Genomic DNA, 14,474 nt, shown 5'->3' with positions numbered 1-14,474 from the left:
CCTCAAGTAGACCCTGGTGTCTGTTATTCTCCTCTTTGTGTCCATGAGTTCTCATTGTTTAGTTCCCACTAATGAGTAAGAATATGTGGCATTTGATTTTCTGTTCCTGCATTAGTTTGCTTAGGATAATGGCCTCCAGCTCCATGTGTGTTGCTGCAAAGGAAATGGTCTCATTGAAAAAGACATTTCATACACTGTTGGTAAATACATTTTGAACATTAATTTAGTAGCATATTCACACACACATATATATAACATAGTAAGGATATATAGGTATGTTAAGGATATTTGTATAGATTTGTCACATATATACTTATGTGTAAGGACATTTCTTACAGCATTATTATATCAAAAAGATAGATCCTTATCAATAGGAATTTATCATCAAAAGTAAATCCTTACCAATAGGAAATACCCCGAAAATAATACAGTATGCAACCATTTTTTACAAATGAGGTTAGATCTAGAGTATACTGATTATTCACAATTAAAATATTTAAAGCATTTAGTTTGGTAACACATCTTAAGATAATTTTGTTAGAATTCTTGTAATATCTGCTGTGTTGCAAATGGAAGCTACACGCTACATTGACACCGTACCTTGTTAGCAACAAGATTGCTAGTTATTAAATTTTTGTTGTCAGTGCCTGAGTGCCGAAATATTGGACCTTCAATCTGAATATTGCCAAGGGATTGTACATGGGGATCTATATTTAATATAAACATTTGAGTATATTGGGTAAAACTTTTATTAAAATATATCAAAGTATCTTTCATCTGCTAAACCAGGAGCTGGCCAGCTTTTTCTGCAAAGAGCCATTTAGTAAATATTTCAGGCTTTGTGGACTATATATATTTATTTTTTTTGAGACAGGGTCTCTGTTGCCCAGGCTGGAGTGCAATTGTGTGATCACAGCTCACTGCAGCCTTGACTTTCTGGGCTCTAGTAATCCTCCCACCTCAGCCTTTCTACTGGCTGGGACCCCAAGTGTGCAACATCACACCCAGCTAATTGACTCTATGGACTGTAATGTGAATAAGCATGGCTGTGTTCCAAGATTCTTTACTTACAAAAACAGGCAGTGGGCTGGATTTGGCCCACAGGTGCTAATTTGCTGACCCGTGTGCTAAAAGGAAGGTGCTGCTAATGCAGTAACACTTATTTGTAAAAGTGCCCTGCATGTGTGACATTATCTTTCCTTTGAGAAAAGGATATATTTCAGTATTCACCTCACCATATTTTTCCACAGTGATGTCATATAATTTTTAAAATTTCATTTGTAAAATAAGATTATTTTCTGCATTTCTGCCACTTTATTCCTGTCAGTAGAACTCAGTATTTCACTGTGATCAATTACTTTGTATATTTGATGAGTATCAACTGTCCTAGAATTGGCTGATTTTTATCAAGCAAGAAATACTCTCCTTGAAGCTTTTAGTTTTTCTTGGTCTTTATGTATAAGCATGAACAAAATAATAATCAGCTTCTGTAATCTAGAAATGGTCAAGGCAACTTTTAGTTCTATAGTTTTAAGAATTTAACACCTTGGTCTGGCATTTTTAATGCCAAATGTGTATAATTTTTATAAGCTTTAAAATATGTAATTGTTATATAAAATTTGAAAACTACACCTGTTATGTAAAATTTGAAACTATTTGTCTACTACTTTTCCATGACTGTGGAAGAAAATTACAACATTCTCAGCCATGACTCCTAAGTATGATGTCCTTAAAAGAACTGTCTACACTCACGAACTCAAATTTTCTTTTCATTCACTCTTGATCTCATGCCAGTAAGTCTTCAATTTCAGCAGTCCTCCAACGTTTTTCCTCAAAATTATCACTAATTTTTTTCTGTAATCTAGGCACTTTTCTTCCACCTCATTTTATTTAATCTGTCAGCAATATTTGAGGCAATGGAGGACATCTCCTCCCTAACGGCATCTTCACTTGGCTTTCAGGACCTCACTGCCTCAGGCTTTTCCTCCTACCTTTCTAGTCCATTCATCATGTTCTGTTTTGCTTGCTCCTCCTCATCTTTCTCCTTTTGGACATTGTTGTTTCCCAGGGCTCACTCCTCAATCTTCTTTCTTGTGACTTTTTCTTTTTCTTTTTTGGAGACAGAGTTTTGCTCTGTCACCCAGGCTGGAGTTCAGTGGTGTGATCTCGGCTCACTACAGCCTCTGCCTCCTGGGTTCAAGCGATTCTCCTGCTTCAGCCTCCTGAGTAGCTGGCATTACAGGTGCATGCCACCATGCTCAGCTGATTTTTGTATTTTTAGTAGACACAGCATTTCCCCATGTTGGCCAGCCTGGTCTCAAACTCCTGACCTCAGGTGATCTGTCTGCCTTGGCCTCACAAAGTGTTGGGATTACAGGTGTGAGCCACTGCACCTGGCCCCTCATGACTTTTTCTACTGTGTATATGCTAGTGATTTCCAAATGTATGTCTCCAGCTCAGATCTCTCTCCTTAATTCCAGATTTCTATATCAGCCTGCCTACTTGTGACATCTCTATTTGGTTAGTTATTGGGTATCACACACTTGTCAGATCCAAAATTGGGCTACTGATGTCCTTCCTGAAATCTACACCTCATGCAGTCTTTCCTACTTTGGTTAAGGGCAACTCTTCCAGTTGCTCTGCCAAAAATCTCGGTGTCATTCTTGACTCATCTCTCTCTCTCTCTCTCTGACACCTCACATCTAATCTCTCAGTAAATCTTGTCAGGTCTACCTGAAGAATATGTCCAGAAGCCAGTCATATCTCATACATCTGAGCCACCCTCATCTGTAGTCTAAATGAGTGCCATAGACTGGGAATTGATAGTCCTGGTTTTTAAAAACTTCCCTTTTCATCAATTCTTAACTCAGTGGATGTATTTAAAAGATAAGTCAAATTGTGTCATTCCTCTGCCCCAGCCCTTCTGATTATCTCCCATTTCACTCGGAGTACATGTCAAAGTTCCTCCTAATTATCTCCCTTGCTCTGCTTCAGCCACACTGAATTCTTGCCATCCCTTATCTACCCCTAGTGCTTAAAGATGCCAGGCACACCTCTGTGATTCGCAGTTCCCTGTGTCTGGAATGCTTTTTCCCCAGATATCCTCCTAGCTTTCTCTTTCCATTCCTTCAGTTCTTTATTTAAAACCCCCTTTCTAAGAAGAAGAGGAAAAAGGGTAAAAAGAAACACATTAAGGAACAACCACTTTCTGAGGAAGAACGGTGTGCTACCCAGACGCGTCATGCTTAAGGTTCAATTGGGTGCCTACCAGGGATGCTCTCTAACGTAACGAAGGGAAGGTTCAGTGAAACAAAGTGATTTATCATCTCTAACTTCAAACCCATTTGTATCTTGACATCAACGCTGTTAACCTTATGTCATCATTTCTTAGAGACTTTGATATACAAATAAAAGGTTTTTGTATTAGAAAAAAAAAATCCCCTTTCTCAGCAGGGACTTTTCTGACCATCCCAACTTTCCCACCACCCTCCCCATCAAACACATAAACATTTCATTTTCCTGCTTTAGTTTTTCTCCTGTAACATCCTGTATATTTTGCCTTGTCTGTCTGTTGTTATTGTGTGTTTTTCTCACTCTCATGAATAGGGTTTTTATTTTTCACAACCATATCCTCACTGCCTAGAAAAAGGCCTAGCATATTGGATGAAGCTACCTAATAAATACTTATTAAATGAGTGAAGGGAGTTTATCCTGGATATATTGTTTGATTAATTCTCACTTTAAAAATGTTTGACGTGGTTCATTCTAACAGTTTTGCCCAGTAATTACATGCATTTTTAAAATTGTTTTGGCTTTTTATAATAAGCTACATTCTTTATATTAATTTTTTTATTTAGAGAGAAAAGCCCAATATTGTGGTTATTCACTATTTATTCTTTTACTAGTAATCATAATTGTAATTATGGCAAACTGAGTCAGAGGAATTGCAAAGTTTACTGGTATTTTATTTTATTTTGAGATGGAGTCTCGCTGTATCCCCCAGGCTGGAGTTCAGTGGTATGATCTCAGTTCACTGCAACCTCCACCTTCTGGTTCATGCATTTCTCCTCCCTCAGCCTCCCAAGGAGCTGGGATTATGGGGGCATGCCACCACGCCCAGCTAATATTTGTATTTTTAATAAAGATGGGGTTTCACCCCATTGGTCAGGCTGGTCTCGAACTCTGTACCTCAGGTGATCCACCCACTTCGGCCTTTCAAAGTGCTGGGATTACAGGCATGAGCCACCGCACCTGGCCACTAGTATTTTATTTAAAAAAAAAATTAGGGTGGCACATTTAATGGACTTACAAATTCTTTTCAAGGGATTATGAACCTTTGGTATTTGAAATAAAGAGACAGAGTTGGAATTTTTTGCTTCCTATAGTAAGAGGAATACTGGTCAGGCACTGTCTATTCTGATGGAGCAGGTGCTGCTGCATGGCTGTATTTCAGAAGCAAGCTGCTCACATTGATATTGGTTGGTGAGCAAGAGCAGTGGTCATTGATTGACTAGATTTCAAACTGGCTTTGTGTGGCTTCTTGTTACCATTGGTACAAGTCATTTCTTTCCTAAGTTAGAGTCAACTTTAACCGAAAATTTTCTGTATAAAAGTTGCCTTCAATTAACTATGTTCAAAATGAAACTATTTTATATTCCAGAATTGTAGACTTCATTTTAAAATTTTGGTCAAGATGAATTGGTTAATAACAGCTCTCAGGAATATCTGTTTTCTTTTTTAAAAAATACATATTTCTCTGTATAATTTATTCCTTAAAATTAATTATTTTCTTTCTGTTTTTGGTATTTTTAGAAGCTTTTGCTCAAGTCCTAACATAATCTCCAGTAGGAGATTTTAGTCTCTTTGTCAGTTCATGTATGTATATGGTAGTGATACTCTACTCTCTTTTTAAATTCCTTTTCTTGTTCACTTTCTTCTCAGTACAATAACGGTGATATTCTTATATATCTTTACCTCATTTAAAAGTAATTACAGTTTGCTGCTGGCAAATTCAGCTTTTTATATTTTGACTAAATACTAGGCTAAAAGTGAAGAAAATTTACCAGGTCATTTTATTTTCAAACAAAATCATTACTAATAAAAATTGCTATATTTGAAATATAAATAATGACATTTTGATATTTTAAAAGTAAGGATACACCCCCCCCCCAATAGTTTGGCTTTGTGTTTCCACCCAAATCTCATGTCAAATTGTAATTCCCAGGTGTTGAGAGAAAGACCAGCTGGGAGGTATTGGATCATGGGGTCGGTTTCCTCCATGCTGTTCTCGTGATAGTGAGTTCTCACAAGAGCAGATAATTCTATAATGGGCTCTTTCCCTTTCACTTCTCTCTCTCCTGCCACCTTTTGAAGAAGTTGCCTGCTTCCCCTTTACCTTCTGCCATGATTGTAAGTTTCCTGAGGCCTTCCCAGCCATGTGTAACTGTGAATCAATTAAGCCTCTTTCCTTTATGAATTACCCAGTCTCAGGTATACATATATACATATATATATATAAAATTTTCTTTATTCCACTCATCAGTTGATGGACACTGGCTGATAACATATCTTTGCATATGTGAATTGTGCTGCAGTAAACATATGTATATAGGTGTCTTTTTGAGAGTATGATTTCTTTTATTTTGGGTAGGTATCCAGAAATGAGAATGCTGGATAGAATGGTAAGATCTACTTTAACAGAATTCTCCATAATGTTTTCCATAGATTTGTACTAATTTGTATCCCCACCAGCAGTGTATAACTCTTCTTTTTTCACCACATCCACACCAACATCTGCTGTTTTTTTTATTTTAGTAGTGACCATTCTGGCTGAAGTGAGGTGATATCTCACTGTTGTTTTATTGTACATTTCCCTGATGATTAGTAATATTTAGCATGTTTTTATATTCTTGTTCACCATTTGTACATCTTCTTTTGAGCAATGTCTATTCATGTCATGTGCCCACTTTTTAATGGAATTATTTGTATTTTTCCTGCTGATTTGTTTGAGTTTCTGGTAGGTTATGGACATTAATCCTTTGTTAGATTCATAATTTGCCCATATTTTCCCCATTGTATAGGTTGTTGGCTCACTTTGATGATTATTTCTTTTGCTGTGCTGAAGCTTTTTACTTTAATTAGGTCTTTATTTATTTATTTATTTTTATTTTTGTTGCTTTTGCTTTCAGGGTCCTCATCATAAATTATTTGCCTAGGCTAATGTCTTCAGGTCTTAGGTTTAGGCCATTAATCCATCTTGAATTAATTTTTTTACATGGTGAGAGATAGAGATCCAATTTTATTCTTCTATATGTGACTATCTTTTTTTCCCAGCACCATTTGTTGAATAACGTGTGCTTTCTCCAGTGTATGTTTTTGTATCCTTTCTCAAAGATCATTTGGTTGTAAGTGGCCTTTTTTCTGAGTTGTCTATTCTGTTCCATTGATCTGTGTATCTACTTTTATATCAGTACCACGATGTTTGTTACTGTGGCCTTAGAGTATAATTTGAAGTCAGGTAATGTGATGCCAACATGTTTGTTCCTTTTGCTTGGCATGTCTGTTGCTATTCAGGCTCTTTTGTGGTTCTACATGAATGGCAGCTTTTTAAAATAACTCTGTGAAGAATGACATTGGTACTTTGGTAGAAACTGTATTGACTCTGTAGACTACTTTGGGCACTATGGCATTTTCACAATATCAATGCTTTCAGTCCAGGAACATAGAATGTATGTTCATTTATTTGTATCATCTGTGATTTTCTTCAGTGGTGTTTTCCAGTTATCCTTTGATAGATCACTCACCTCCTTCATTAAGTATATTCCTAGGTATTTTACTGTTTTGCAGCCATTGTAAAAAGAATTGGATTCTTGATATGACTCTCAGCTTGGTTGTAGTTGGTGTATAGTGGTACTATTCATTGGTATTTGTATATTTTGTAACCTCTGAGACTTTACTAAATTCATTTATCAAATCTAGGAGTGTTTTGTAGGAGTCTGTAGGGTTTTCTAGGCATAAGATCATATCATTGGTGAAGAGAGAGTTTGACTTTCTCTTTTCCAATTTGGATGCCCTTTATTTCTCTTGCCCAATTGCTCTGCCTAGGGCTTCCCAGTTTTCTTCTTAATATGCATGAAATAAAAGTAAAATTGAAAGCGATTGTTGATCAGTTTATTTCACATTTCTCTCTCATACACAGATAAAATGAATTCAAAGTTCTATGTTAAAAACACAATATTAGAGCCTGTCTTGTTCCAAAGGGAATTTCTAAGTTGTCTATAGATTACAGAGGAATCAAGAATATAAGTGGAAACTGTTTCCAAAAAATAAACATAAAAAGTTTAGGTTAACACAGGGGTTTCCAATCCCCAGGCCACAGACCAGTACCAGTCCCTGGCCTGTTAGGACCTGGGCCACACAGCAAGAGGTTAGTGGTAGGGAGCAAGTGAAGCTTCATCTGTTTACAGCCACTCTCTGTCACTCACATTACCTTCTGAGCTCCTCCTCCTGTCAGATCAGCGGTGACATTAGATTGTCATAGGAGTGTGACTTGAACCCTATTGCAAGCTGCTCATGCATGGGATATAGGTTGTTCACTCCTTATGAGAATCTATTGCTTTCTGATCTGTCACCATCTCCTGTCACCCCTAGATGAGACCATCTAGTTGCAGGAAAACAAGCTGAGGGCTCCCACTGATTCTACATGATGGCGAGTTATATAATTATTTCATTATATATTAGTAATAATAGAAATGAAGTGCACAATGTATGTAATGTGCTTGAATCATCCTGGAACCATCCCCCACCTCAGGTCCATGGAAAAATTATCTTCCACAAAACTAGTCCCTGGTGCCAACATGACTGTGAGAGCAGGTTTAACAGATGTGAGACCCCTTTGTCTTGTCTTGGATTAATGTGCAGATATACATTGTGTGAATGACATCTGATGGTGCCATCTTGCCCTGTAGATCATTTTAGGGACACCTCCAGTATTTCATGAAAATTAAAATTTCTTCTAGTGACGAACAAAATGATACCCGGAAACAACTTTCTGAAGAACAGAACACTGGAATATCACAAGATGAGATTCTGACTAATAAACAAAAGCAGATAGAAGTGGCTGAACAGAAAATGAATTCTGAGGTATTTTCTTTAGTCATTTTCAAATGTTTTCATATGTGTATATATTTTTAAAAAGCTTTATTTTGGAAGGTATAAAGGATTTTTAAATCACATATATACACACCCTGTATATCCTTGGTCATATATTTATATATGTACATATAGGATAAAACCATGTTCTTAATTCAACTGCATTTGCCTGCAACAGTCGAGTAGTGACCTTCACAATGGCCTCAATCCAAAGGAAAAGCATTTGATATTTTTCATAAGAATTGATTATCTTTCCAATATCAAAAATAAGTTTTGCTACTAACAACAGATTTGCTAGTTTTGGGACATTAGTTCTTTTTAAAATATTAATAGAGAAGTCAGTTTGTTATTTTCACTAATAGGAAAGTAGGAAATGTACAGCTGGGTCAGAGGCCACATTGTGGATGTCATTATCCTTGCTTTTGAGGAGAGGAACAGTTTGCTCCGAGTAGTTTCTCATTTCAATGCAAAGAGCTTTGAAAACAATGACATGCCATGATACACATTTAGTGATAATTTATTGATAAGTATTTTGTTCCCAGATGAATAGTTCAGTATGTTTCCCCTATTTCACACTTACTACTACAATGTTTCAAACATTATAAAGAGGAAAGAAAAGTTATTGCAATGGCAAATAATCTCATGATTTCTAAGAAAAGCCTTGTAAGTTATATCTTATTTACCATTTGTATTTTGAAATAAAAGGTTTCTTTTGTATTTATATATTTACACCACAGAAGCAACTGTGATTTTGTGGAGGATCACTAGCAGTAGCATCAGAAGACCTGGCAAAAATCGTGCACATTGCATATATACGTGTGTGTGTGTGTGTGTGTGTGTGTGTGTATTCTAGATGGAGTCTTGCACTGTCACCCACGCTGGAGTGCAGTGGCACAAACTCAGTTCACTGCAACCTCTGCCTCCCAGGTTCACACGATTCTCCTGCCTCAGCCTCCTGAAGTGCTGGGATTACAGGTGTGAGCCACTGGTCCTGGCTGCATATATTTTTTGACCTCTCCTTTTAAGAATCGTGATCCTAAATGAGTTGAGTGTTGTATGTAGAAGTGCAATGCTTAGATGCAGATGTGTACATTGTAGAAGGGTACAATGCTTAGATTTAACAGTTATGAATAAATGTAATGCTTACAACTGACTGTAAAAATATTAGAAAAGCAGTATATTGATAAAACATTCCTCAGAAAAAGGAACTTAAAGAACTTTGAGGAATTGCTTCTGTCCTAATATATGCATAGCTAAGGCTCTTATGATGGTGTGGTTTATAGGTTAGATATCAGAGTGTAAACCCAATTTAAAAAATGTAGCCAAATATATTAATCTTCTATTTTATGCCTCTGGGTTTTTTGTAATTCAGAGAAAGGCTTTTCCAATTCTGAAATTCTTAAAAATCCTCTAGTGATTTATTTTTCATGGTCTTTAGATAAATATTTCAACTTTTTGGAATTTACACTCTTTTAGATTTGAAGTTTTGTCCAACTTTTTTCCAGTTAAATATCCACTATGGGAATTATTTCATTATACAAATATAAATGTCATTCTTTAATTTTAGAAGAAATCATGATATGTCATTCTATTGAGTGCTAACTAAAAGTTCCCTTTGTTTACTTAGCTTTCTCTTAGTCATAAGAAAGAAGAAGATCTCTTGCGTGAAAACAGCGTGTTGCAGGAAGAAATTGCCGTGCTAAGACTGGAACTAGATGAAACAAAACATCAGAACCAGCTAAGGGAAAATAAAATTTTGGAGGAAATTGAAAGTGTGAAAGAAAAGACTGATAAACTTCTAAGGGCTATGCAATTGAATGAAGAAGCATTAACGAAAACCAATATTTAAGTACAGTGGACAGCTTAGGATTTTGACAACTGAGAATGCTCAGTTCTGAACTGGAGAATGTAAGACACAGCTAGGAAACACTGGAAATGGAAATTCAATCATGTCATTGTAGACTGACTACTGCTCTACATGATTGTGATCAAAGTCAGATAGCTGAAAGGGACTTCTTTCCAGAGAACAAACATGAACAGGTTTATTTACAGGAGAAAATGAATTCTCATATATCTCACCTAAAAGATAACAGTGAGATTCTTTCTGAACAACTCTAACGCTGACAGTAAAATTAACAACCTAAAAATTAAGCTCCATCACACAGGATAAATTCTGAGAGAAAAGATGAGGCAGGCCACCATCTTTCCTGTTTGGGCAACTTAGCCATTCCAGCGTGCGGGCTTTGGAGAGTACAAACCCACCAGGGGCAGAAGAGATCCTGTGGCATAGCACAGCTGCTTTACCAAATCATGGCCAGAATGCTTCTGTAAGCAGGCCCCTGATCCTGTTCCTCGTCACTGGACAGGATCTCCCACCTGAGGCCTCCAGCTACACCCACCAGTGTTCCCTGGCCAATGGAGATTTGAAACCTTCCTGGGACAGAGTTCCCAGAGAGAGGGGTGGGCCATGACCTTTGTTGTTTGGGCAACTAGCCCTTCTGGCCTGTGGGCTTTGGAGAGCCCAAGCTGACCAGGGGTGGAAGTGGTACCTCAGCACAGAACAGCCACCCTGCGAAAACGTGGCCAGATTCTTGTTTAAGCCAGTCCCCAACCACATTTCTAATCACTGGCTGGAGCCTTTCAACCAGGGTCTCCAGCCACCTTCACTGCTGTTCTCTGGCTGACAGAGGTTTCAGGCCTCCTGAGTGAGAGCTCCCAGGGGGAGGACCAGACTGTCATCTTTGCTGTTTGGATGACTCAGCCAGTTCAGTCTTAGAGTTTCAGAGTGTCTGAGGAGACCAGGGGCTGAATTGAACCCCCCGCACAGCATAGCCACTCTAGAAAAACGTGGCCAGACTTCTTTTTTAAACAAGTCCCTATTCCTGTTCCTCCTTACTAGGCAAGACTTCTCAACTTGCTTCCAGTCACATCCTACAGGTGTGTTCAGATTGGCAACAGGTTCATACCTCAGAGGTACAGAGCTCCCAGAGGGAAGGGCAGGTTATCGTCTTTGCTTTTTCGCAGGCTTCACTGCTGATACCTTCAGCCACTGGAAAATACGAGGCAATTGGCGACTGGAGTGGACCCCCAGCATACCACGGCAGCCCCACAGAAAAGTGGCCAGACTGTTATGTGGGTGCCCATTTCCATATCTCCTCGATGGGCAGGTCTTCCTGGCCTGGGTCTCCAGCCAGCCCCCCACTTGAGCTTTCAAGCCAGTAGCAACTCAGCAACTCCCTGGACAGAGCTTCCAGGAGCAACAGAAATCCTCTCTGCCACTGCCTCTGCAGTGGAACTGCCCTTGCTACCCTCAGAATATCAAGGGAGCAAAGACCCTAAGTACCATATTGACACCTCCAACAAGCTGCAGTTGACACAAGGAACAAGTCAGTCCATCTTCCACAGGTACAACACACCCCTTACTGCTCATCACCAGACAAGGAACCCTGGCTTGGGCCCACAACACAGACCCTCCATCCTGGGGTGATTACATTAAGTAACTGCTAACTTACACCTCTCTGGGGTGGAGCCCCCAGGAGACAAGGAAAGTGGTGGAGCAGCAAGTCAGCTGATGTGGAGCCCGGAGGGCAGGGACAGCTATGTCTCTAGGCTCCACTTGCTCTTATGAGACACTTTATCCCAGCACTTTAGGAGTGCTGAGGTCAGACCAGCCCCATCTCACGTGCAAGATTGCCCAGCACAGATCAGGTCTAAGAGTTCTCTTCGTAAAAAAGGGGACTTGCTTAAAAAAGAAGTCTGGCCACGTTTGTGTAGAGCAGTTGTGCTGTGCTGAGGATTCACTTTTGAGAGAGTTCTCCTCTGAGACCTGATCTGTGCTGGGCAGTCTTGCACATGAGATGGGGCTGGTCTGACCTCAGCACCCCTTAGTCTGCTTGCCTCTCCCAGGACCCCAGCCAGGCCACACCTGCTTAGAGGGCACTTTCGGGTGCCCACACCATAGCTTCTGTACAAGCGGACCGTGCCTGATCAATGGAGAGCTGCAGCAAGGTGACCTCTACAGCCACGCACTAGCCTGCACATTACCTCTCCATACTGCAGCCCTTTATATGGAAACTTCCTACATCACTTTGCTGTGTGTGTTTACACAGGTGGGTTTTGTTGTACTTGCCCTAACAGCATATGGGAATGCAGCACACACCCCAACCCACACGAACTGCCACTGAAGATGAAGCCATGGTGGGCACAGAACCAAAAACCCCACCCCTGCTAGCATCTCACCCTTGAGGTAATGCTGTGCAGAGGAAAAGGGACCTTCTTATACCCTGAGTGACCACTGTTGCTTGGGGGGGATCAAAGAAGGCACCTTCACTGGCCAGCCACCCACCCCAAACCAGCACTACCTCCAGTGCAACAGCACACACAGCAGGGGCCCCCTGGCCCACACCCCAGCTGTTTTGCCTCCACCACTGGGTGAATGCCCACAGGGAGGCAGGGACTTTTGCATCTGCTAGCATTCTGCCACAGCTGCCGCACTTTGGTCCCCTCAGTGCAGTGGACTCCAAACCTCGAGGAGCCAGAGAACAAAGTTGTGGCCCAATACAAGTTCCCCAGAGTTAAAGCACACAGTCCAAGAATTGGGAGCTGCATGTTGGCCCCTTAAAATCCTCCAAAAACAAAACCTGTTGGCTGAATCCACCTTACACCACAATCAAATCCTCAAGGTCATCAGATATAATAAAGGAAAAATACCCTGTCCAAACGTCAGCAACCTCAAAGATTGAAGATGGATAAGCCCATAAAGATGAGAAAAAGACTCTGTGCAAGAACACTGAAAACTCAAAAATTCAGCATGCCTTCTTTTCTCCAAATGACTGCATCAACTCTCCAGCAAGTGTTCAGAACTGGGCTGAGGCTGAGATGTCTGAAATGATACAAGCAGAGTTCAGGATATGGGTAGGAACAAAGTTCATTGAGTGAAAGAAGTATGTTGTAATCCAATACAAGGAAGCTAAAAATCATTGTAAAACATTGCAGGAAGTAACAGACAAAAGAGCAAGTATAAAGAAGAAAATAACTGACCTGACAGAGCTGTAAATCACACTAGAAGAATTTTCATAATGCAGTCACATGGTGATTGTGTGTGATTGCATTATGAATATTATTGTATGTGTGGGCACCTGAGAGTGCCCTGTAAGCAGGTGTGGCCAGGCTGGGGTCCTGGGAGAGGCAAGCAGACTAGGGAGGGCTGAGGTCAGACCAGCTCCATCTCATGTGCAAGACCATCCAACAGAATAGACCAAGAAGAGGAAAGAATCCCAGAGCTTGAAAACTGGCTTTCTGAAATAAAACAGGAAAACAAGAATGGGGGAAAAAAGAATGAAAGGGAATGAACAAAACATCTGAGATATATGGGATTATATAAACGATCAAATCTATGACTGATTAATGTACCTGAAAGAGATGAGAATGGAACCAACTTGGAAAACACATTTCAGAATATCATTCATGAGAATGTCCCCAACCTAGCCAGACAGGCCAACATTCAACTTCAGGAAATCCAGAGAACCTCAGTAAGATATGCCATGAGAAGATCATCCCCAAGACACGTAATCGTCAGATTTTCTGAGGTCAAAATAAAAGAAAAAATGTTAAAGGCAGCTAGGGAGAAAGGCAACATCACCTGCAAAGGGAATTCCATCAGATTTAGCAGACCTCTCAACTGAAACTGTACAAGCCAGAAAAGACATTCAACATCTCAAAGAAAAGAAATTTCAACCCAGAATTTCATGTCCAGCAAAATTAAGCTTCATAAGTGAAGGAGAAACAAGATCCTTTTCAGACAAGCAAATGCTGAGGGAATTCGTTATCACCAGACCTACCTTACAAGAGCTCCTGAAGGAAACACTAAATATGGAAAGAAAAGACCACCACCAGCCACTACAAAAACACACTGAAGTACACAGACAAGTGATGCTAAAAACCAACTACATAAGTCTGCAAAAAAGCCAGCTGACAGCATGACGACAGGATCAAATCCACACATACCATTACTAACCTTAAATGGAAATGGGCTAAATGCTCCAATTGAAAGACACAGGGGGCAAGCTGGATAAAGAACCAAGACCCATTGGAGTATGCCGTCTTCAAGAAACCCATCTCACATGCAGTGCCATACATAGGCTCAAAATAAAGGAATGGAGAAAAATATTTCAAGGAAATGGAAAACAGAAAAAAGCAGGTGTTGCACTCCTAGTTTCTGACAAAACAGACTATACCAATAAAGATTAAAAAAAAAAAAAGAGGGCTGGGCGCGGTGGTTTACGCCTGTAATCCCAGCACTTTCGGAGGCTGAGACGGATGGA

The 14,474-nt window shown here is 39.7% G+C and overlaps 1 protein-coding gene across 1 annotated transcript in view; it reads left to right on the top strand.

Moving 5' to 3' along the window:
* Positions 1-14,217, top strand: part of LOC100288966 (POTE ankyrin domain family member D-like) — a 35,531-nt gene extending 21,314 nt beyond the window's left edge. Inside the window, exons 10-11 of the mRNA NM_001257362.3 lie at positions 8,019-8,142; positions 9,779-14,217. Of these exons, the coding sequence (NP_001244291.1) occupies positions 8,019-8,142; positions 9,779-10,000 (346 nt within the window). The 3' untranslated portion in view covers positions 10,001-14,217. The remainder of the gene's footprint in view (positions 1-8,018; positions 8,143-9,778) is intronic.
* Positions 14,218-14,474: the final 257 nt, after the last annotated feature.

The sequence above is a fragment of the Homo sapiens genome, unplaced genomic scaffold (assembly GCF_000001405.40).
Source record: "Homo sapiens unplaced genomic scaffold, GRCh38.p14 Primary Assembly HSCHRUN_RANDOM_CTG2".
NCBI classification, from domain to species: Eukaryota; Metazoa; Chordata; class Mammalia; order Primates; family Hominidae; genus Homo; species Homo sapiens.
This window is presented reverse-complemented; position numbering and strand designations above follow the sequence as displayed.